Here is a 24,130-nt window from a genome sequence, read left to right on the forward strand (position 1 = left end):
GCCCTGTCTTCAGCCTCAGACTGAGTGGTGGCCTGGGGAGGTTGGGAGCTGAGCTGTTCTCATCCCTGGTTCCTTGGCCACGGTGGAAACAATGGGGCCGGATCTGACTGCTCAGCGGGGACTGTGAATAGCTCTCTAGCAGGAAGCAACAGCAGGGGTAGTGGAGGAAGTGTGGGCCCACTTTGGTTTGACACTGCATATGGTCCCCATCTGGCCTGAGAGCCTTTACTCCTTGGCAAACTCAGGCCAATAAGCTCCTGCCCCCACCCTCAATGGCAGCTGGAAGAATGGCCTGAGGGAGAAGCAGGGATAGGTGGGCTGCACTGACATCACCCCCAGATCCCAGCCGTGGCCCCAGCCAACCCATGGAGGTGGGGCATGGCACGGCAGGTGCTGCACAGGAGCCCAAGCACAAGGGCACTTAGGAGAAGGAATCTGAGCAGGGATCGATCTGGCCTGGTGGTGATTCTCCAGAAACTCCATTCCTCAGGGCTGTGACCACCAAGCCAGGTGATCAGGCCAGTGATGTTTCCCTTTGGGCCAGGTCGGGGAGCCAGACCTGGGAGGGAGACTCCTCTGGGGCCCAGGGGAGGTGAGTCAGAGCTGGCAGAGGCCTCTGGCTCCAGGAACCTCCAAGGAGGAGACCTGAGTTGCTGGGAATTTCTGGGTCTGACCTCCTGCCAAGTCAAGGTCTGGGCTGGACACAAGGTGAGGCTGTGCTTTCTGGTGCCAGGACCAAGGAAATGCTGGGATCTGGGCAGTGCTCAGAGGCAGCACCGTATGGCAGAACCATGAGGGTGCACCAGCACGGACCCCTTTCTGCAACCCACCCATCCCTCCCTGCAGCACCTCGCCTCCTCCAGGCAAGAATCTGAGCCTTGACCACAGCTCCCTCTCTCACACAGCTTCCTTCTTTGGTTAGAACCACCCGGAGGTGACTGTGGCCATGGCTCTGACTGACATAGACCTGCAGCTGCAGTTCTCCATGTCCCAACCCGAAGCCCTCCTTCTCCTGGCAGCAGGCCCAGCTGACCACCTCCTGCTGCAGCTCTACTCTGGACACCTGCAGGTGAGTGACGTCCCCCTGGGATTGGGGCGAGATTCCTTGTCTAGCTTTGAGTGAACCCCAGCTGGCTGTTGACCTTGTGTAAGTCACTTTTCTTGGGGTCTCAAGTTCTCCACTGTGGGATGGGCAGCAGCAGCTCAGAAATGGTAAATCCTTCATGAACTGGCTCTGCCCACCGGCTCCTTCCAACCATGTTTCCCACCACAAGCCCTCACTGGCCCTTTGTGCTCTGACTGCACTGAACTGCTTTCAGTTCCTGGCCATCTTATGGTCACTTGCTGCCAGGCCTTTGGTCATCACACTCCTCCTGCCAGGTGTGTGACCCACCCATTCCCTGTACCTGCCGAACTCTAGTCTCTCCTTGAAGTTTCAGTGTGGGCATCCCCTCCTCCTCGGCGAGACCCCCTCCTGGGCCCCCATGACCCCTGCGCATCCTGGTGGCACTGCACCAATTTATCTGCAGCACCACTGTCTGTCCATGAGAGTAACAGCACCAGTACTGCCTCAGCTTCATTTTTCCATTTCATCCTTCAAGACACCACAAGCTTTATTATCAAGGAGTCTTGTGGCTCCTACTTGAGTCTTACCCCATACCAGGAAGAGTTTAAGAACCCAGGGTCTTAGTCCAAATTTGGGGCAGGCTGGGTGCAGTGGCTTATGCCTATAATCCCACCACTTTGGGAGACCAAGGTGGAAAGATCACTTGAGCCTAGGAGTTCAAGACTGGCCTGAGCCACACAATGAGACCCCATCTCTATTTTAGAAGGAAAAAAAAAACAAATTAACAAATTTGGGGCAGCCATCTCTTTCCACACCCCAGTGGGAAGAGGACTAGGGCTTGGTCAGTCTGCTGCTGTCATTGCTGCTCATTGCCACAAGGTGTCACTGTTGAACACCTATGTGGTGCAGTCTGGTGCTGATGGCTGTTGAGCTCTGCAGGTAGTGATGCCACATCCCTACAGAGATGCACCATACCAGGACTCCAAGATCATGGTTCTTAGTGTTCTGCCTCTGCAGTTCCCATACTCTGCCATCACCTATTCTAGCATCTGGGAGCACCATACCAGAGCCATTTCTTGTGTCAATGTCATGGTGACAGAACTATGTCCTTCATCTCTCCTTGAGATATTCCTCCACCACAGGTCAGGCAGCTTTTTTTTTTTTTTTTTTCCCAGAACACAGAGCATCTGCCTGGGCTCCCTGTCCCTGAACAGTTAGCCTGGCTTCCTTCAGTGACCTCGAGAAACTTTGCCAAACTTAGGGGGACTGATCAACGGATTCTCAGTTACCCATTATTCCAGGGGTGAAATCTAGATTCCAAGACAATATTTCTGGTGCTTTTCACTCAAGGAAAGAGGAGGAGAATTTAAAAATACAGGTTGGGTTTCTAGAAGAGCATCTTGCTATATGTCAGTTCCTTGTGGGCAAGGACCACATCTGATTCACACCAGGGTCCCCAGAGCCCATCCAGGCCTGGCCCAGAGTTTCCTTTGGTGAGTGTTTGGAGGATGAATAAAGAGATGGCAGGAAGGCAAGAGGAGTGGCACCAGAGGCCCTTGTCCTAGGTTTTCTGCTCTGGGGCCCCCTGTGGGGAACCCACTGTGCTTTTATAAGGGAAATGATGGATTCAAAGTGCTGCCCCCCATCTCCCATTCCCCGTCTCTCCTCAGGTCAGGCTTGTCCTGGGCCAGGAGGAGCTGAGGCTGCAGACCCCAGCAGAAATTCTACTGAGTGGCTCCGTCCCCCACACCACAGTTCTGACTGTCTCAGAGGACTGGCCCACATTGTCAGTCAATGGGTTTCTGAATGCCTCCTCTGTAGTCCTGGGAGCCCCCCTAGAAGTCCCCTATGGGCTCTTTGTTGGGAGCACTGGGAGACTTGGCCTGCCCTACCTGAGGGGAACCAGCCATCCCCTGAGGGGTTGCCTCCATGCAGCCGCTCTCAATGGCCGCAGACTCCTCCAGCCTCTGACCCCCAATAAGCATGAGGGCTGTGCTGAAGAGTTTTCTGCCAATGATGATGTGGCCCTGGGCTTCTCTGGGTCCCACTCTCTGGCTGCCTTGCCTGCCTGGGGCACTCAGGATGAAGGAACCCTGGAGTTTACACTCACCACACAGAGCTGGCAGGCACCCTTGGCCTTCCAGGCAGCAGGCTGGCATGGGGACTTCATCCATGTGGACATATTTGAGGGCCACCTGTGGTCCATGGTTGAGAAGGGCCAGGGTACTGTATTGCTCCTCAACAGTGTGCCTGTGACTGACGCACAGCCCCACAAGGTCAGCATCCACATCAACATTCACCAGCTAGAAATCTCCATGGACCAGTACCCCACACGAACTGAGGAGTCCTCAGCTACCTGGAGCCACGTGACAGTCTCCTTCTTGGGGAGCTGGTTGCAGAGGCCTCTCATCACCTCCAGGAACACCGCTCAGGCCTGACACCAGGGGCTGCCAATGCCTCCCTGCTGGGCTGGCTGCATGGAAGACCTCAGTGTCAATGGCTAGAGGCAGGGGCTGTGGGAAGCCTTGCTGACGCACAACATGGTGGCTGGCTGCAGACTGGAGGAGGTAGACAATGCCTATGGCCATTATGAAGCTTTCTCCACCCTGGCTCCCAAGGCTTGGCTGTCCGTGGAGCTAGCTGAGCCATGCGTGCCTGAGCCAGGGCTACCTCCTGTCTTTGCCAATTTCATCCAGCTGCTATCAGCACAGTGGTGGTGACCGAGGGTGGCACAGCCTGGCTTGAGTGGTGGCATGTGCAGCCCATGCTGGCACTGATGGAGGCTGAACTGCGTAAATCCCAGGTGCTGTTCAGCGTGACCTGAGGGGCACACTACAGCGAGCTCGAGCTGGATGTCCTGGGTGCCCAGGCATGAAAAATGTTCACCCTCCTGGACGTGGTGAACTGCAAGGCCCGCTTCATCCACGATGGCCCTGAGGACACCTCTGACCAGCTGGTGCTGGAGGTGTCAGTGATGGCTTGGTTGCCCATGCCCTCATGCCTGCGGAGGGGCCAAACAGACCTCCTGCCCATCCAGGTCAACCCTGTCAATGACCCACCCCACATCATCTTCCCACATGGCAGCCTTATGGTGATCCTGGAACACACACAGAAGCCTCTGGGGCCTGAGGTTCTCCAGGCCTATGACCTGGACTCTGCCTGTGAGGGCCTCGCCTTCCAGCTCCTTGGCACCCCCTCTGGCCTCCCCATGGAGCACCGAGACCAGCCTGGGGAGCCGGTGACTGAGTTCTCCTGCTGGGAGTTGGAGGCCGGCAGCCTAGTCTATGTCCACTGTGGTGGCCCTACACAGGACTTGACATTCCGGGTCAGCAATGGACTGCAGGCCAGCCCCCCGGCCATGCTGAAGGTGGTGGCTGTCCAGCTGGCCATACAAATCCACCGCAGCACAGGGCTGCATCTGGCCCAGGGCTCTGCCATGCCCATCTTGCCTACCAACCTGTTGGTGGAGACCAGCGCCGTGGGGCAGGATGTGACCGTGCTGTTCCGTGTCACCGGAGGCCTGCCGTTCAGGGAGCTGCAGAAGCAGGGGGCTGGTGGGGTGGAGGATGCTGAGTGGTGGGTCACACAGGCGTTCCACCAGCAGGATGTGGAGCAGGGCCACGTGAGGTACCTGAGCACTGACCCACAGCACTACACCGAGGACACCGTGGAGAACCTGGATCTGCAGGTGCAGGTGAGCTGGGAAATCCTGAGCAATCTGTCCTTCCTAGTGACCATCCAGAGAGCCACTGTGTGGATGCTGCAGCTGGAGCCACTGCACACTCAGAACACCCAGCAGGAGGCCCTCACCACAGCCCACCTGGAGGCCACCCTGGAGGAGGCAGGCCCAAGCCCCCCAACCTTCCACTGTGAGGTGGTTCAGGCTCCCAGGAAAGGCAACTTTCAACTACAGGGCACGATGCTGTCAGACGGTCAGGGCTTCACCCAGGATGACGTACAGGCTGCAGAGGTGACCTATGGGGCCATGGCACGTGCCTCAGTGGCAGTGGAGGACACCTTCTGTTTCCATGTCACAGCTCCACCATATTTCTCCCCACTCTGTACCTTCTCCATCCATATTGGCGGTGACCCAGACATGCCTGTCCTCGTGGTGCCCGAGGGTGGTGGGTGTGTCCTCTCTGCTGACCAGCTCTTCATCAAGAGTCTCAACAGTGCCAGGTACCTCTATGAGGTCATGGAGCAGCCCCGCCATGGGAGGTTGACTTGGCGTGGGACACAGGACAAGATCACTATGGTGACATCCTTCACCAATGGAGACCTGATGCATGGCCAGCTGGTCTAGCAGCATGATGACTCTGAGATCACTAGAAGATGATATCCCATTTCCTGCTGCCATCAGGACCAGAGCAGTGGTGACGTGGCCTGGGAGGAGGTATGGGGTGTCTTCTGAGTGGCCATCCAGCCTGTGAATGACCACGCCCCTATGCAGACCATCAGCTGCGTCTTCCACGTGGCCTGGGGTAGGTGGCGGCTGCTGACTACAGACAACATGGCCTTCAGCAATGCTGATTCGGGCTTTGCTGAGGCCCAGCTGGTGCTGACCCACCAGGACCTCCTCTCTGGCAGTATCATGGCCACGGATGAGCCCATGCAGCCCATCTGCCGCTTCATCCAGGAGGGGCCTCAGGAAGAGGCGAGTCCTGTTCACACACTCAGGCTGACCACGGCTGGATCCCGCTGCAGGTGTCCGATGGGCAGCACCAGGCCATCACGGTGCTGGAGGTGCAGGCCTTGGAGCCTTACCTCTGTGTGGCCAATGGCTCCGGCCTCATGGTTCCTCAAGGAGGCCAGGGTACCATCAACATGGCCGAGCTCCACCTGGGCACCAACCTCAACATCTGCAGTAGGGATGAGGCCCACTACCACGTCACAGACAGCCCTCACTGGGGACAGTTGCTCCAAGCCACTCAGCCAGCCACAGCCTTCTCTCAGCAGGACCTGCTGGTTGGGGCTGTTTTCTATGGCCACAATGGCAGCCTCAGCTCCCGCAACACCCTGGCCTTCTCAATGGATGTGGGACCAGTGCACACAGATGCCACCCTACAAGTGACCATTGCCCTAGAGGGCCCAGTAGCCCCACTGAAGCTGGCCCAGCACAAGGAGATCTACATCTTCCAGGGAGAGGCAGCTGAGATCAGAAGGGACCAGCTGGAGGTGAGGAGCTGGAGGTGGTGAGCGGGGTGTGGACCAGGTAGAGGGCCTTCCTCCCAGCCTCCATGCCGGGAACACATGTGACTTGGGCTGTACCTGTGGTGGTCCCAGCTTGTGTGTGTGCACGTGCCTCAGATGTGCTCCCATATATGTTGTGTTCCCAAGAGTTTCTGGGGAGCTTGCTGTACACCCATCCTCCTGGGAGTGGTGTGTGCCTCTAGAGCTGGTGTCCACTCATGTCCATGGCATGGCTGAGCATGCAGATTCCTGGACGCCACCCAGCCCTACAGAATCTCTGAAGTGGAGCCCGAGAATCTGCATTGCAGTCAGTTCCCTGGGAGGGCATCACGGGTCCTGAACTTTTGGGATTGCTGGCCGTGGAGACAGGCCGCTGCCTCTCAGACCCCTGTGTACCCCGCTCTCTTCTCAGAGCCCAGACCAGGACCAGGAGGGTCTGTCAAGGGCTTCTGCTCACCCAGGAACCCCACAGAGCAGCCACGGGCCTTCCAGAGATCTGACATGCCCTGTGACCTCAGGCCAGTCCTTGCCCGCTCTCAGCCTTACTCTTCCACACTGCTTATTTCGGAGACCCTTCTGGTCTGCATCTGGAGCTTGGGGCCCATGGTGAGCCAGCAGATCTGGCATCAGGAAGGCCTCATGGGAGGAGGCAGTGTTTGGGCCGGGCTCTGAAGAGTACAGGCCATTAGGAGCAGAGAATGGGGAGTGGTATTCCACGCAAAAGGAACATTCCGGCCGAAGGCACAAAACAGGAATGTGAGTTTGGAGGCAGTTTAGCCTCTTGTGGATGGCCCATCAGGTGAGGGAGCCCATGTGGCCTTTGGGGTGTGAGCTCTGTAGGGCCTGTGCTGGGGGTGCCTGTGCCTCTAGGAGGGGTGGGGTGGGGTGGGGCAGGGCACCCTCTGATGGTCCTGGGTGGTAATAGCAGGGGTTGGGGAGGATGCTGCCAGCAAACCAGCCACAGGCCTGAACAGATCCTGAGCAGGGGGCCTGTGTGCGTGTGCACACACGCATGTGTACCTGTACCTGTGTGACTGCGTCAGCATCTGATGAACTCATATGTCTGTGTCACTGAGTCTGGGGACATGTGATTATGCACCTCCCTGAGGGAGTGCATCTCAAGCTGTTGACCGACACCCCGTAACCATGTGTGGGGTGGGTATTAACATGTGACCAGCTGGGGCAACCCAGTGAAACCCCATCTCTACACAAAACATTTAAAAATTAGCCAGGCATGGTGGCACATGACTGTGGTCCCAGCTACTTGGGAGGCTGAGCCCTTGAGCCTAGGACGTTGAGGCTGCAGGGAGCTGTGATCACACCACAGCACTCCAGCCTGGGTGACAGAGTGGGACCCTGTCTCAAAAAAACAAAAAATGTGACCAGCTGCATGTCTGGCTGCTGTGTGTGTGAACCCACATGTGTGTGTGTCACTAAATGAGCAGTGGTATCTGGGGAAATAAGTGGAGCAAGATCAAGGCTGTTCTGGCTGCTTAGGGCCACAGTGGGCCCCTCTGAGACCCCTCTGCATTCCCTTGTGAGTCCTCATGACCTCTGTTAACCAGGTAGCCCAGGAGGCAGTGCCGCCAGCAGACATCGTTTTCTCAGTGAAGAGCCCACCGAGTGCCGGCTACCTGGTGATGGTGCTGCGTGGCATCTTGGCAGATGAGCCACCCAGCCTGGACCCCGTGCAGAGCTTCTCCCAAGAGGCAGTGGACACAGGCAGGATCCTCTACCTGCACTCCCGCCCTGAGGCCCGGAGCCATGCCTTCTCGCTGGATGTGGCCTCGGCCTGGGTGCTCCCCTTGAGGACGTCACGTGGAGCTGGAGGTGCTGCCTGCTGTCATCCCCACTGGGGGCACAAAACTTCAGCAGTAGAGGGGGCACAGTCGCAGCTGCACCCTGGCCCCTCCACTGCTCCGCGTTGCCAGGTCCTACTTCCCCACTCTCCCGGGCCTTGGCCTGCAGGTGCTGGAGCCACCCCGGCATGGGGCCCTGCAGAAGGAGGATGGGCCTCAAGCCAGGACCCTCAGCACCTTCTGCTGGAGAGAGGTACGGCTGTGAGAGAGGCCCAGGGGCTGCAGCCCAGCTCTGGGGGCAGAGTGGAGGGAGCCCCGGGGACTCCCAGTCCAGGGGTTATACAGAGAGGAGACAGGGAGTCACATTTCAGAAAGACCTATGCTTTAGATGCTGTATCTCGGGCTGGGCGCTGTGGCTCATGCCTGTAATTCCAGGACTTTGGGAGGCCGAGGTGGGCAGATCAGGAGGTCAGGAGATCAAGACCATCCTGGCTAACACGGTGAAACCCTGTTTCTACTAAAAATACAAAAAATTAGCCGGGTGTGGTGGCCCGCACCTGTAGTCCCAGCTACTCAGGAGGCTGAGGCAGGAGAATCGCTTGAATCTGGGAGGCAGAGGTTGCAGTGAGCCGAGATCACACCACTGCACTCCAGCCTGGGCAACAGAGCGAGAGACTCTGTCTCAAAATAAAATAAAATATCCCCTTTCTTCCTCACAACTCCTCTGGGAACCAGAACTTATGGTCCCCATTTTCCACCAATGGAAGCTGAGGCCCTAAAAGGGTCAGTCTCTTCCTGCACCCAAAGGCAGAACATGAAGGGTACTGCTGGGGCCTGACTGCCAGCCCTGGGCCTGCCCCTAGGTGGAAGAGCATCTGATCCAGTACCTGCACGATGGGAGCAAGACACTGACGGTTTTGTCCTGATGGCTAATGCCTCTGAGATGGACCGCCAGAGCCATCCTGTGGCCTTCACTGTCACCATCCTGCCTGTCAATGGCCAACCCCCGACCTCATACAAACTCAGGCCTGCAGGTGAGCATATTCCTGGGACCACCCCCCATGTCTGCTTTGAGAAAGAGGCCAATGTCCCCTACTTCCCGGCACAGATCTCCCCCCCTCTGAGCCTCAGTTTCCTCCTCTGCAAAATGAGGACACTACTGTGTGCCTCACGCAGTTGTTGGAAGGAGAGATGTGAGATTGTGCTGAAATAGAACACAGGTGGGAGGTTTTGTTATTGGACATTTGCAAGTACGGTAGGCAGACTTCTGAGCAGCCATGGGTGGCTCTGCTGTTCCTTCTCCTGTGGCTTAGGACCAGAACACCTGAAAGAATCACTTACAAGCCCTTAAGGGCTGGCGTCAGGGTGGGACCGTTAAGCTTCCCACCTTCACCCCAGCAAGTGGAGGCCTCAGCTTGGCTTCCCAAACTCCTGCCCCTTGTCCACAGCAGAGCAGGGCCCCCATTTGGCAAAGGTGGAAGTTGAGGCCCAGAGATGGGATGGAACTTCTCCATGATTGCAAAAGTAGTTCTGGTGGAACAGAAAGGGCATGGCTTTACTAAGCCCACGTGGCAGGGCTTTGAACCCCAGCTTCTGGGGCGCGTCCTCCCCAGTCAGCAGAAGCCACTGAAGGTTCCGCAAGAGGGCTGACTTGGGCTGTCTCTGACATGGGGCACCGGGGGGCTTTGGTGGTCTAGGATGTGCCTGTAGGGGGTGGCCTCATGGTGTGGACGCCACAGAAGAGTGGGACACAGCACCCTGGAACCACAGGCTGGGATGGCTGTGTGGCAGTGCGGCCACCAGGTGGTGCCATCTACCCGTGTTTGTTCCGGGAGCCCAGTGATGGGGCCCTGCCTCCCACAGTATGGCCCCTCTTGCCAAGGCTCGGCCTGAGGGCTCCCTGCGGCCAGGGGAGGAAGCCCAGGAATGCCAGAGGGCTGTTTTCTGGGCATGTGAGTCCCACTGCAGCACTGCCCACAAGTAATTGACCCAGCAAGAGTGGTACCAGGACCTCAGGAACGGGTGCCTGTTCTGCTTGCTAGTGGGAGGCCTGAAAAGGGGCCCCCTTTGCCCAACACGAGGAGGGCCCGTAACTGCTCTGGAAGCACCTGGGCCCATCCCAGCACTGCTTCTGTGCTGCAGGACAGTGCCAACCATCAGGCTTCAGCTCTCTGCGCCTCCCACCCCTCCCTTAGCTGGAAGGAGTGCTCGTTTCTAAAATCACTGTTCCCACCTGTGCCCAGCCCCTGCCAGGCACACATGGAGGGTCTGAAAGGAGACTGCTGCCCCACCAGTGAGCTAGATTAAGGAGCACTGTTGGTCAGCGCTGGGGGTTTCTGGGGGTGAGAACTTGGTGACGGTAAGAGCTAGGGCCTTCCTGGGTTGGGTACACAAGCTGGTCTTGAGGGACACACAGGACTAGGACAGATGAAGAGCAGGGATGCTGGGCCTGGAGGGTGGCCTTCCCTGGGGTGACAGGGAAGGTGAATGCAGGGAGGCCATTTGTGCAGGGGAGCCACAGCAGCGCCAGCCTTGATGCCACCTGAGGGCCTGAGCCTCAGTGGGGTTGGAGCCCTGGTGGCAGCCCAGGGCCGGGGAGGAAGGGGTGGGTAAGTGTGGCAGGGCAGAACCTTCACAGGCCTGTGTCCCCAGATGTGGGAGGGGGCCACCGTGCCCATCCCTACAGAGGCTCTGAGGAGCATGGATGGTTACTCTGGGCCCAAGGACCTGGTGTACACCATTAAGCAGCCCAGCAATGGGTGGGTAGTGCAGTGGGCGGTGCCGGGCACTGAGGTGCGCAGCTTCATGCAGACCCAGCTGGATGGTGGGCTCGTGCTGTTCTCACACAGAGGTGGGTGCTGAGGGCCGAGCCCCAGGTTTCTGCTGCCCACGGGGGCACCCTGAGGTGGGGAGCCAGTTCAGGCCAGCTGGACCCAACACCCTTGTCCCCAGGGGCCCTGGACGGAGGCATCCACTTTGGCCTCTCTGACGGTGAACATACTTCCTCCAGACACTTAGTTTCTGAGTGACGGCCCAGAAGCAAGTGCTTCACTCGCTGGAGGGCAGCCGGACACTGACTGCCCAGGTGGGTGTGCTGATTGTGGGCGTTCCTGGGTGCGGGGGGCTGGGGCAGAGCTGAGGGTGGCATGCCAGGGTCACACTGCCTCTCTGCAGCCACAGGCCTCGGCCTGGATCACAAAGGCTGATGGCCCCTTTTGCCTCTGGCAGAGTCCGTCCAGCCACTCAGCAGCCAGAGCCTCAGAGCCAGCAGGCACCGACCCCCAGCTCCTGCTCTACCATGTGGTGCGGGGCCTCCAGCTAGGCCGGCTCTTCCACGCCCAGCATGACAGCACAGGGGAGGACCTGGTGAACTTCACTCAGGGAGAGGTAAGGGCCCCACTCTGCAGCCACCACTCAGATGCGCCCAGCCTCAGGTGGCCACTGTGCCATGGACATCATGTGGACATGGGCACCAGCTCCAGCATCACCGGCAGCAGACACTCCCAGGCCTGCCATGGTCCAGGACCTGGTGTCCTGCCCTCTAGGAGTCATCAGGCTGGCAGGGCAAGTTCATGTTCCCAGAAGGAGGGAGAAGAATGCAGGAAGTCGGGGATACAGGGCCCCAGAGCAGGGCTGGGGTCTTGGGGTGTGGCTTCCCGAAGGAAGCTAGAGCTGGACCCAAGGGTCTGGAGAGGGAGAACCATGTAGGGGCACTAGTGGCACCCCAGCAGCTGGTGAGGGGCAGTGCTTGGTGGGGGATGGAGTCGGAGGTGAAGCAGCTGCTGGGGCCTGTGGGCAGAGGTGTGAGCCTCGGGCTCAGATCAGGTGCCAGCCAGAGGAAGAGTGGATCCTAGGAGCAGATGAGCTGATGAAAGGCAGCTGAGTCGGCCAAAAGGGGGAAGCCACTGTTCATCTGTCCTGGTGGCTTCAGAGAAGAACTAGAGCTCTCAGCCATGGGTAGTGGCAGACTCTCTGTGGTAACTGTGCCATGGGGGCCAGCCCACTCATGGTTTAAATGAACACCTCTCCCCAAAGGCAGAATGGGAGTTGTTCCATAGCAGAGCAGGGCAGGGCAGGGCAGACTCTTGTGGGCCGCCCTGGGCAGGCAGCACACCTGATGCTCCCATCAGGAGGCTGCGTGAGCATCTGGACCCAGCACATGATCACAGTGAGTTCTCGGCAGGGAGCGGTCTTGTGGGGCGCAGAGCTGACTCTGTCACTCAGGAGCCACGGCACGCAGCACTGCCCCAAGTACCTCCAGAGGGGATCCCTGTCAGCCCTTGAAAATGGCAGAGCCCACCCCAGCCCCCTTTTCAAGCTCCCTTGCTTCGGCAAGGACCTCCTGAGCCTGGCGCTCTCCCTCCTGAGAGGTGCAGATGGTACTCAGCAAGTGCAAAGCCGAGGTTTCTTGGGCCTCTCACATCAGCACCTCCCAGACCTCGGTTCTGTATTTCCCTGGAGCTCCACTCCTGCTATGGTGCCCTTCCCACAATGAGATATTCATCAGGCTGGTGTCTACAGCTGCTGCGTACCCTCAGTTGCTGGGAGCCTTTGTCAAGAATGCCCAGGAATGAGGAGGGCACAGGACCCAGACCATCAGCAACCCTCTTGCACTCTATAGTCCCATGTTACTCAGAGCTTCCCCATGCTCCAGCAAGATGAAGGACTAGATTGAATGGGCACCAGGCTGGCAGTGCCACCCAGGAAAGCTGGGAAGAGGCTACATGGGCTACCTGGCCCACTCAGGGAGGAGGGCAGGACTGGGTATTGTCTTGACAGCAACCCTGTCCCACAACACTGAACTGGGCAGGGAAGGGGTCAGGTGTCCTCATTTTTCAGATAAGAAAACTGAAGCTCCCAGAGGGCAGGTAAATGTATTCAGAGCACATGGCGAGTAAGAGGCAAATCTTCTGCCAGCAAGTCCAGGATTTTTTTCACCAGAGGACATTGCTTGGTCCCCAGAGCTCAGGACCCTGTGTTTTGTCTCACTCCCACCCACAGAGCTCCTGTATCCAGGCATCAACTCCAACTCCCACTCCTGGAGGCCGAGGCAGGAGGATCACTTGAGCCCAGGAGTTCGAGACCAGCCTGGGCCACATAGTGAGACCTTGTCTCCACACAAAAATTTTAAAAATAGCTGGGCTTGGTGGTGGCATGTGCCTGTAGTCCTAGCTACTCGAGAGGCTGACGTTGGAGGATCACTTTGAGCCCAGGAGGTGGAGGCTGCAGTGAGCAGTCATCACTGTACTCCAGCCTGGTGACAGAGCGAGACCCTATCACCGCCCCCCGCCCCACCAAAAAAAAACTGAGTAGACAGGTGTCCTCTTGGCATGATAGGTCTTAAGTCCCCTCCCAGATCTGTGACATTTGACAGGTGTCTTTTCCTCTGGACCTCGGTGTCCCCATCTGAGTGAGAAAAGGCAGTGGGGAGGTGGATCTTCCAGTCGAAGCGGTATAGAAGCCCGTGTGAAAAGCCATACTCCAAGGGGCTCCAAGTCCAGCGCACAGTCCCAGAAGGGCCCAGCAAGGCAGCCAGGGCGGCACAGGCACCAGGTCCCAACCTTCTTCCCTGTTTGCCCACTCTCAGACCCCGGAGTTCATCATCTCGGAGCCGCTGGCCAATATGTACTCATGTGGGAACCAGAACACACTGATGGAGGAGTTGGCAGAGCAGGCACAGCAGCACGACGAGATGCTGCACATGCACCACGCGCTGAAGGAGGCGCTCAGCATCATCGGTGACATCAACAGGACCACTGTCACCATGCCCATGCCCCCGCCCGTGGACGACACCTGGTTGCAGGTGCAGAGCATCCCTGACGCACACAGGTACCAGAGACTGCCCCCCACGGCCCCAAAATCCCCCACCCGGGATGCCCAGAGGAGTGCCCTGGGGGCAAGTGGCACACCCCCTCACCGGGGTGGCTCCCACCTGGAGTGACGGGGGGAGCTTGACAAGGAGCACTGGCTGCAGGGGGGTGGGGGGTGGGATGTTCTCGCTGCTGGGGGCGGGGCTTAAGCTCCGGCAACCGCCTTGGGGTGTGGCAGGGAGGAGCTTCGGTGCATGGGTGTGGCCGGCACTGCGCTGGGGCGGGGCCGCCCATCTCTCCCCTCCCTGTGCCTCCCAGGTCGCCCAAGTCCAGCGCCAGGATGCCCAGGCCCTGCCATGTCCCTAGCCCGGCCTGGGTGGCAGGGCCCAGCTCCTGGGCGGCAGGACCCAGCTCCTGGGCTTCCTCCTGCTGGGTCCGCCCTTGGGGAAGTGTGCCCCATACCCTCCAGGCCAGAGGCTTCCCCTGATCCCTTTGGGCCCTACCCCCCTGGTGCTCTTGTGCCCCAGCCGGGGTCCCCAGGTAAGTAGGGGCTGAATGCAGCCAAAGAGGCCGCTGGACAGGCGTGGCCAGGAAGGAAATGGGACTGGATTCCAGAGCACCACATCTGGCCGCCAGAACTGGCCGTCTCCATCCAAGGCACTGGGACCATGGGTGCCGGAGCCACGTGTGGCCGAGGGCTGGCAGAGCCTGCCCCCCAGGGATCACTGAGTCCTGGAGGTGGTCGTTTTTGAGGAGGGGGCTGTGGGGCTCGTCCCACCTGCCGCCTTCTGTCCAGCACTTGCATGACACTTCCCTCTATTTTCACTCTTGGCGGCTGCCCACACTTTGCATTTCTCTTCCTTTCTTCTCGCTGTCCTCCATCCTCCATTCCGTCCAACTCCTAGCCCAGTCCCGGGGGCGCCTACTTCAGGTCTGAGAGTCTGAACTCCGAGATGCTCTGGGTGTGTGGATTTCCTTCAGCTACCCTGATGTCCCCAATTCCAAGTCCTGACTCCTTTGAGCCATCCCAGGGGGTGTCCGGCCACTGGACCACAGGAGCAGAGGCGAGTCTGTGACTGTGTGACCAGCAAGGTGTGTGATGTGTGCGTGAGCGAGCACACGAGTGTAAAGAATGGCACCCAGACCTGAGCTAGGACAGAGGGAGCCTGGGGGCCACAGGCAAGCTCATTTCTTCTCCACACCCCTCCCCGCCCGACCCTGTCTAAACTAATGGGGTAGTGGTAGCCGCAAGGGCAGGGATGGGAGTGGCTGAAGCCTACTTCACTCCCAAAGATTTCTAAGGAAAATGGTTCTACTGCATCCTTTGGCTGGGCCTTGTTGACCCGTGACCCTCTTTCAAGAACATTCACTCTGATTTCCAGTGTGCCGTCTCCACTGGCCACGTTCTCTAAGGAAGAACAATAGCATCTGTTTTTGTTTCCAAATGGCTGGAGAGTGGGGCTGTGGGACCAGCGCCCATATATAAAAATGAAGCAGGGATTGGGGCTTGCCCTGTGATGTGCTGTTGACCAAGTTAGAGGGGTATAGGCAAGCAGCAAAGTATTGGGCAAGATCACTGGACTGGGAGTCCAGAGATGCTGCTTCACCCTGGGGCTTTAGGCAAGTCCCTTTCCCTCCCAGAGCCTCAGCATCCCTTTTAGCAAATTATGACATTCTGCCTTTCTCCTAGAATGGCTGTGGGGATCAAGGGAGACAGTGGCCATAGGGATGCTATGTTAACCGTAGATGCGTCTGTAGGAGCACTTTCCTAACTGCCAACGTGAGTTCAGACTCTTCAGGCTATTTGGCACCCAGGTCTATGGTGAGGTGTGACATATGGGATGTAAAGTTTGATGCCTGCTCTGACTCCAGTCTTGCTAACACACACACGAAACCTTTGGCAAATCATGACCCTGCCTTGGGGAAAAGGGCAGTCTGGGAGAGCTTCTTCAAGGCAGCCTGGCTTCAATGCAGTCCGGGGCATGACGGAGATAGGCATACGTTGTGAGGAACTGGAGGGTAACTGGGTAAAGAGCTGCAGTGTGGGCAGAGGTGTAGTGTGGGTCACAATGAGGATAGCCACTGGCCAAAGCAGGGAACAGAGACAGAATGAAGAGCTCTGTGGGGAGGGTGGGGCACAGGGTGGAGAACCTTCAAAGTCCAAAGAGTATGACTTGTTGGGATTCAATGCTGTAGGCAGTAGGGAGCCATGGAAGGCTCTTAGGTGGAGAAATGACAGCCGGACATTAGTGAGCAAGCCCTGTCTCCCTGAGCAGCATGGGTGGTCCTCTGAGCACGCCAGGCACGAGTGTGCAGGGAGCTGGTGCAAATGCCTCTGTGTGCGGGTGAGCATCTGTGTTGTGACTCTGCCCACGCATGTGCTTCAGTGTGCCGAGTGGCTGCACGCCCCAGATCCATGCGGCACGTGCCGGCCGGTGAGGGTGCTGGGCACCGGGAGGTGGCGGAGAGGGCGACGTATGCGTGTTGTTTGTGGGCATGTGTTAGAGTGTGCATGCGGGCCGTGGGGCCTCACAGCATGTGTGTGCACAATCTGGCGTGTGCGTGTGTCCGCCACCCCCAGGCCTGCCCCACCCATGCATGGGACCTGCCATGTGATTTGATGCTGTCTTTCAGAATCACTATCAGTGGCCCCTGAGGAGCATCAGCCATGGTAGGTACATGCCTCACTGCCTGCTGCATGAATGGTCTGCCTGCCCCGCTGCCCCAGCTCCACACAGGGGGCATACCTGGAGCCTCAGAGCCAGGCTGCCTGCCCCTCCCTTCTAGAGCTGCAGACTTGCTCTTTCCTCTTTCTGTCCTTGTGCTGCTGGCTGTCTCACTTCCCTCCCTGCCAGCCACAGGACTCAGTGCCACTGCTCAAGGTCTCCATGGCTGAGCCTGGGGGCTCTTACAACAGGCTCCATGCCCAAGGTGGCAGATGTGGAACCATCAGAGAGGGCACAGAGCTCATGGTTTATGGTGTAGGGGCTGGGAGCTTGGAGGGGGTTGTGTGGGGGGCTGGACTCAGGCGGCCAGAGGCCTGGGCACATCATCCTGGGCACGCCGTACCTGTCATGCAGTCTGAGCCATGCTGCCAGGGCAGGTATCCAGCTCCCAGCCTGGGAGTGCCGAGAGCCAAATCCACTGCAGATTAGGGGTGATAGTCAGGGTCCCACCTCCTCTATCTGTCAGCAATCCAGTGGTGATCTAGGATAAAAGCCTGAGAGTTCAATACACACGGTTATCCCACAACACACTTCATAGGCCATGCAAGGACACACAGCCCCCTTCCCTCCTTCCCAGGTACCATCACAGCTGCTAGCGTGTGACTGAAGGCTGGGTCCCTGGCCAGCGCTACTGAAGCACTACTGCCAGCCAGCAGACTCACGGACCTTGGCCTGTTGCTCCTAGGGGTCACCTGTGCTATTCAGCCAAGGAGACCACAGTGCTTGCTGGCCCAGCTGAGCTCCGCCTAGCGAGCCCACCTGCCTTTCCTGCCACGGAGTCTCCCTCTTCTGCTTTTCCCAGCAGGAAGGGCCCAGCCTCACCTATGCAACCTGCAGCCCCCCGCCAACCAGTTGAGGCTCCCCTCTTAGACTTATAAGTCTACGGGCAGTGGCATCTAGCTACCTGCCCTCCCTGCCTTCCCCAGGGTCCCTTCAGTGGACCCTGGGCTTTCTGACTGCCCAGAGAGGGGCCTCTGGCGCTCACTCCAGCCCGCCATCCCTTATAGCTTCACCATTTTGGTTCAAGCAGTGTTCCTTCTGTCAGGCTTGGTGGCTGTTGGGTGGGGCTCCCCAAGCAAGAGGTGGCCCTGGGCCAGTGGGTTGGAAGATGGGGTGACCACAGAAGAGGGAAGCCGGGGGGGTTGAGCATTGGTCTGAACTGTGGGTGGACTGCCTGGGTGCCATGAGAGAGGCCAGTGTGTGTGGGGTGGGGAGGGCTGCCACAGCCCCCAGGCACTACCTATGAAGCTCTAGCTTCTCCCTCCATCTTCCTCCCCTTTCCCTTCCAGCCCCTCTTTTCCAGGAACCTTGCCACGCCCACACCTACGCCTTCCCCTTCCCGGCTCTCAGATGATGGTGGTGTTTATCTCCCTGTTCTCGGGAGCCCAAAAAGAATGGCATGCAGGGGTTGCTGCCCATGCCTGGGTGCTCCTGGGGAGTCCTGCATTACAGGAAGCAGCTGCTGGATCTGCTGTGCAGTGGGGTTGTCGTGGGGAGAACCCTCCCTGTCCTCTCCTGGTGCAGCCTCCACGCTATCAGTGAGGCTCACCTCACAAAGATCTTCAGAGAGAGGGAGGGGGGTGGGAATCTGAGCACAGTGCGAGCCTCCCCTGCTCCTGCCTGCCCACCCCACCTGAGGGCTCTACTCACCACCCTGCTCGTCAGCACACCCAAGCTCCTGGGCTACTGGGGCTCCTAGAGTGGGCTCATCAGCAGGGTTCTGGGCAATGGTCAAAATTTGCCATGCCCCTCCTTGTGGTCGCCCACAAGCTGCAACACCTGCCCCGCAGCTCCTGCAGGTTCACCTGGAGGAAAGGGGTGTTAGCTGCCATGCCGGTGCCGGCACGCACGTTCACCCCCACCTCCACCCCCACCCCCACCGAGATGTTGCACACCCTACCTTCATCTCCTCCTGGTCCTGGGCCAGCCTGACGATGTCCTCCTCTCCCAGTGCTGCGTCTCTGACACTGCCCCCTGGCTGATGTACTTTCCTGCAGGAGGACATGGCTCAGATGCTGGGGCCCCTCGGATGGCCTGGCAGCTCCCCCCAGCGGTGCCCTAGCCTCTCGCTCACTATGGTGTCTGTCTGTCCTGAGAGGTGGATGAATTGAAGCTCTAGTTTCTCTACCCGCTCCTTCAGGTCCACCTTCTCCTTCCATAAAGTCGCTGTGGAGCCAAAATAATGGGGTCACATGTCAGGAGTCACCTGCCTTGTCCTGCCCCACCGCCCCCCTTGTTGGCCCATGCCAGGACCTACTCACCTGCAGCTTCTCCATGGCCCCCTGCAGGGCCCGGTGGGTCTCCCCAAACACAGACTCACCCCCACTCTCTGGGGCTGGGGCCGCTACCTCTGGCTTCTTCTGGGACGAGGCCACTGGGTGAGCCAGGGGCTGGCAGCACACCCTTTGTTCCTCCTGGGCACTGGCTCCAGCGGAGTTGAAAAATGCCACCTGAAGACAAGAGGTGAGTATTCTTGTAGGGGTATACACATAACAACTGGGGCAGGCAGATGGAGCATAGCCCCTTCCTTTCGGGCCTCACAGAGTGCACCTGTTGGTCACAGGTGAAATGGTGTCTGACCACTGGCTCCCAGGAGGAGTGAAAGTCCACAGAAGTCAGAAGGCGGGGAAACCAAGAACATAAGGGGGTTTCGGAGGGACCACAGAGGAAGGTGGCAAAGTAGGGGCAGGGAAAGTCAGGCTCACCATGGCCTCCCGGCTCTCCAGGTCCCCTGGGATGTTCGGCATGGGCCGAGGCGCCTCCTGCTCACTGTCCAGATGTCCTCCTCCATCTCCTGTGGGGGGTGGCCAGAGGGGTCCTCAGACAACCCAACAAGGGAGGTACAGTGGGCCCGCCTCTGCCCCCACACTCACTGTGTAACCTTGAGCCAGCCCCTCCCCAGAGGGGAATGAGCTGTTCTTTATTTTGAATTTTAAGAACCAAGATCTTGCTATATTGCCCAGGCACAGTCCCACTACCGATTGGCGCAGGAATTCTGACCTGCTCCCCTTCTGACCTGAGCCAGTTCTCCCATCCTTAGGCAACCCGATGGCCCCCTGTTCCCAGGAGGTCACCATACTGATACTGAACTTAGTGCGGACACCTTGTCGGCATAATGACCGACACAAAATGCTTAAAAGGTAACCTGACTCTTTGTTCAGGGCTCAGTCCTTTAGATGTTAATCTGACTGGGCCGGTGCACCTAATAATATATATCCTCCTCAGTCTCTCTGATTCCTAAATTATGCTGCTGTACGGGGAGAGAGGCAGCAGGGTAGTGGAGTCATACCAAGCAACAAGACAGGGTAGTGGCCAGGCATGGTGGCTCACACCTGTAATCCCAGCAATTTGGGAGGCCAAGGCGGGTGGATCACCTGAGGTCAGGAGTTCGAGACCAGCCTGGCCAACATGATGAAACCCCATCTCTACTAAAAACACAAAAATTAGCTGGGCATGGTGGCAGGTGCCTGTAATCCCAGCTACTCAGGAGGCTGAGGCAGGAGAATTGCTTGAACCCAGGAGATGGAGGTTGCAGTAAGCCAAGATTGTGCCATTGCACTCCAGCCAGGGGGACAAGAGGGAGACTTCACCTCGAAAGACAGACAGACAGGCTAGTACGTTTTCCACAAATTTCAATTTTACTCTCTTCCCCCACCACACACACACACAAAGCATTTGAGGGATGGGAGGAAGAAACTGAGATCACAGGAAAAATTGTAAGAGACATTCAGAAGGACAGGTCTTAGAAATTTACTAGTTTTGGGGGGAGGTCAGAACAGGTGTATATAAAAGAATATTAAGACAGTTCCCAGGTTTAGGCATATGTGACTAGATAGAGTGCTAGGAGATGGATACGTGAAAATTTAAATATCATCATTTTGAACACCCATGTCACTCCAAGTGAGATTCCCTAAATATATGATATACAGACAGATATATGGGTTTGAAACTCTGGAGATGAATACAAATTTAGGAGTCCCTGGAACACAGGTCATGACTTAAGTAATGGGAGTCAAAGATTACTCAGAGAAAGCACAGAATGAGAAGAGAAGAAGTAGGACAAGGAAGAAGAGATCGGAGGAGACCAAGAAAGGGTGATAAGATCAAAACAGGAGAAAAGAATCCGACAGAAGTCTCATTTGATTATCATGTCCCTTCCCAGAGGACAGGGACATGTCTTTTTTGTCTTTTATACCCAATTATCACAGGTCCTGGTGCAGCAGACACACAGTTTTTTTTTTTTTAATTGTGTTGTACTATTCACAGTTTCCTGTATTCACCAGGGGAGAAAAAAGTAAGTATAAAGCAGCACAGACACAGATGTTTTTACACTGTGTACTAAAGGGGTCAGATTATACACAATATTTTATGCCTTACTTTTTTACTTAATATATCTTAGAAGTTTGCACGTGCTCTTATGGAAAGACTGGCTGCATTTTTTGGTCCACAACAGAACAACAGAATATTCTATTATAAAACGGTACACTATAATTTTTATTTAACCAACTCTTTATTGGTGGACATTAAGAATGGAGGAATGTTTCAACAAAGGAACAATCAACAGTATCAAAATACTGCAGAGGGGTCAATTTGGGGACTAAGAGGGGAGCCACTGGATTTGACAACTAGGAGATAAATTTTAGTGCAACGATGAAGGCAGAATCCAGAGTATAATGAGCTCAGTGAAAAAAGGTGAAGACATGTAGCTTATTCTCTCAAGAAACTAGGCTATGATAAACTGGCAGAGGCTCTAAGAGTGGGAGGTGAGTTGTTTTCTCCTTCATGTAAATATATTTACCTTTTAAACACTAGGCCCAATTTTATATCCTATTTCATTTAACTTTATGAACATATTTATGTATGTATGCATGTATGTATGTATCTCATGTGATGTTTTAGACACTGAAAAATAACTCATTTCTATTATAAAACTGATATCTTTAGATGTTCAGAAGCAACTTCCTAAAAGGAGGTAGCAGTAATGGAGCTATGTCTATCATTCTTTCCCATCAACCCCCTTGATGGAGATGTAAACATGTGTCCATCAAGCCTTTAATTTTTACCTCTTATCTTCATGGCTCTCCATACAAAACTTAACTCTTTTTTTTTTCTATTTGTATACGTATATTTATATGTATATCTATATCGAGAGAGAGAGAGAGAGAAAGAGTCTTGCTGTGTTGCCCAGGCTGATCTCAAACTCCTGGGCTCAAGCAATCCTCCCACCTTGGCCTCGCAAAGTGCTGGGATTACAGGCGTGAACCACTGTGCCCAGCCTCAGCCTTAACTCTTAAAATATCTTCAAACCAATATTCTTCTGTTCTAATTTTTAAGAATAGATGTGTTTAAACCAACTAACTTATTTTGACAAAAATTGGAGTTAAGACTCAGACTTCCTCAAATAGTTCTCCTAAAACCATTTACAGAATAATCTATCTTTTCAGTATTAAGTTAAAATACCACCTTTTCCTTATACTAAATTCTCGTTTGCATGACTCTGGTTCTAAACTTCCATTGCCTTTATCTGTCTGGCCCAGGGATAGTCCACAATATTTTATTTACTATCTGGTTGAAAGAGTCTATACTTTATTACTTTTTATTACTTATTCTTCTAAACAAATTTTAGAGTCGTTTTGTCAAGTGTCAAAAATAAATCTGCCAGAATTTGTACTGAAATTTGTGTGTGTGTATATATATAATACACACACACTATATATAAAATATAAAATGTATATATACAATTTATATATATAAATATTTATAAAATATGAAATATATATATATATACACACACACTTTTCTAGTTCTTTTTTTTTTTTTTTGAGACAGGGTCTCACTCTGTCACCTAGGCTGGAGTTCAGAGGCATGATCTCGGCTCACTGCAACCTCTGCCTCCCAGGCTCAAGTGCTCCTCCCACCTCAGCCTCAGAAGTAGTTGGAAATACAAGTGTGTGCCACAGACACCCAGCTAATTGTCATCTACCCGCCTCAGCTTCCCAAACTGTTTGGATTACAGGTATGAGCCACTGTGCCCAGCAGAAATTACATTTACAAATTAATATGAAGACATGGTGATAACTAACATATTTATAACATGAAATCTGCTCATCCAGGAACATAGAATGCAAATCTTTCATTCCACTCAGCAAAATTTTGTCCTGTCCTTGATAAAAGTCCTGCACATCTAAGTTTATTCCTAGGTATTTAATTTTTGCTGAAATACCTGAAAAAATACTTCATCACTATATCTTCTATGTGATTATAGCTAACACTGGGGAAGGCTATTGATTTTTATATAAAAGAACTTTTAACCAGTAATCTTAAAAATTGTTTTTCTCAGTTGGTTCCTTTGGATATTTTTAGGTAAACAATCATGTCAACTGAAAATAATGATAAATTTTCTATAAAGACTATGACATCACAGGAAAATACAGTAAATACTTTTTAAAAGAATATAAAAGGGCCAGGCACAGTGGCTCACGCCTGTAATCCCAGCACTTTGGGAGGCCAAGGTGGGCAGACCATGAGGTCAGGAGATCGAGACCATCCTGGCTAACACGGTGAAACCCCATCTCTACTAAAAAATACAAAAAATTAGCCGGGAATGGTGGCGGGCGCCTGTAGTCCCAGCTACTGGGGAGGCTGAGGCAGGAGAATGGTGGGAACCCAGGAGGTGGAGCTTGCAGTGAGCCGAGATCACGGCACTGCACTCCAGCCTGGGTGACAGAGCAAGACTCTGTCTCAAAAAAAAAAAAAAAAAAAAAAAAAAAAAAAAAAAAAAGAATTTTAAACTTTAGAGAATATGACCTCAACTATTAAGCATATGTGTAAGGGTTATGTATTTTAATAGCAAAGAAAAACTATATACTGGTAGAAAATGACCATCATGTCAACAGTCAATAGTGGTTATATTAGATAGAGAAATTATGGGAGACTTTAATTTTTTTCTTTTATCTTTTCTGTACTTTACCAATTTTCTCAACAATGGTTGCTTATGAGTTTTAAAATTAAAAAAAGGTTTTAAAAATTTTTCCAACATGGAAAGTTATATTTCTTTATATACTAAAACAAAAACAAAACTTTCTATTTGAATACCTATGGCAAAACCCTATCTCTACAAAAAATACAAAAAATTAGCAAGGTGGGGTAGTACACACCTGTAGTCCCAGCTACTCTGGAGGCTGAGGTGGGAGGATCACCTGAGTCCCCAGAGAATGAGGCTCCAGTGAGCCATGATCATAGCACTGCATTCCAGCCTGGGAGACAGAGAAAGACCCCATCTCAAAAAAAAAAAAAAGAAAGAAAGCAAAAAGAAATATCCATAATGATCTGAAATGCCTATCTGTATGAGACTGTCCTTTGTTCACATTTTTTCAAGCAAATATCACACAATAAATTGAATGCAGGTACAAATGACATATCAAACATCAAAGAAATTTGCAAAAGACGTAAGACTGTACTACCTTGGGTTTAGAAATTTTCTTATCATAAAAGCATTTATAACAATATTTTGTGAGCTTTTAAGGAATATTTTAAGTA

General features: G+C 54.7%; 4 pseudogenes across 4 annotated transcripts in view, besides 2 other annotated features; 1 reads left to right on the top strand and 3 right to left on the bottom strand.

Moving 5' to 3' along the window:
* CSPG4P12 (chondroitin sulfate proteoglycan 4 pseudogene 12) lies at positions 901–11,141 on the top strand (annotated as a pseudogene).
* Positions 8,137–8,637: an enhancer, noted in NCBI's record as "H3K4me1 hESC enhancer chr15:85741901-85742401 (GRCh37/hg19 assembly coordinates)". NCBI's record gives its function as "activates a minimal SCP1, AML or CMV promoter by ChIP-STARR-seq in naive H9 embryonic stem cells {active_cell/tissue: H9 hESC(naive)}" and the evidence as "EXISTENCE:reporter gene assay evidence [ECO:0000049][PMID:30033119]".
* Positions 12,916–24,130, bottom strand: part of LOC727751 (golgin A2 pseudogene) — a 31,360-nt pseudogene continuing 20,145 nt past the window's right edge. The window contains 6 exon segments of one of the 2 annotated variants that reach the window (NR_102748.1): positions 12,916–14,101; positions 14,131–14,941; positions 16,935–17,072; positions 18,242–18,396; positions 18,492–18,582; positions 18,853–19,041. The product of NR_102748.1 is annotated as a golgin A2 pseudogene, transcript variant 2 (transcript). 2 annotated transcript variants of the gene reach the window in all.
* The window catches only part of LOC101929479 (golgin A2 pseudogene), a 29,789-nt pseudogene continuing 20,132 nt past the window's right edge, over positions 14,474–24,130 (bottom strand). The window contains exons 2-8 of one of the 2 annotated variants that reach the window (NR_158179.1): positions 19,297–19,385; positions 18,853–19,041; positions 18,666–18,757; positions 18,492–18,582; positions 18,242–18,396; positions 16,935–17,085; positions 14,474–14,935 (exon numbers count right to left, since the gene is read on the bottom strand). The product of NR_158179.1 is annotated as a golgin A2 pseudogene, transcript variant 1 (transcript). Of the gene's footprint in view, positions 14,936–15,780; positions 17,086–18,241; positions 18,397–18,491; positions 18,583–18,665; positions 18,758–18,852; positions 19,042–19,296; positions 19,386–24,130 lie in introns of those variants that run through there. The other variant, NR_160936.1, reaches the window with a different exon arrangement.
* Positions 16,805–17,306: an enhancer, noted in NCBI's record as "H3K4me1 hESC enhancer chr15:85750569-85751070 (GRCh37/hg19 assembly coordinates)". NCBI's record gives its function as "activates a minimal SCP1, AML or CMV promoter by ChIP-STARR-seq in naive H9 embryonic stem cells {active_cell/tissue: H9 hESC(naive)}" and the evidence as "EXISTENCE:reporter gene assay evidence [ECO:0000049][PMID:30033119]".
* On the bottom strand, positions 19,520–19,766 carry RN7SL428P (RNA, 7SL, cytoplasmic 428, pseudogene; annotated as a pseudogene).

The sequence above is a fragment of the Homo sapiens genome, chromosome 15 (genome assembly GCF_000001405.40).
Source record: "Homo sapiens chromosome 15, GRCh38.p14 Primary Assembly".
NCBI lineage: Eukaryota > Metazoa > Chordata > Mammalia > Primates > Hominidae > Homo > Homo sapiens.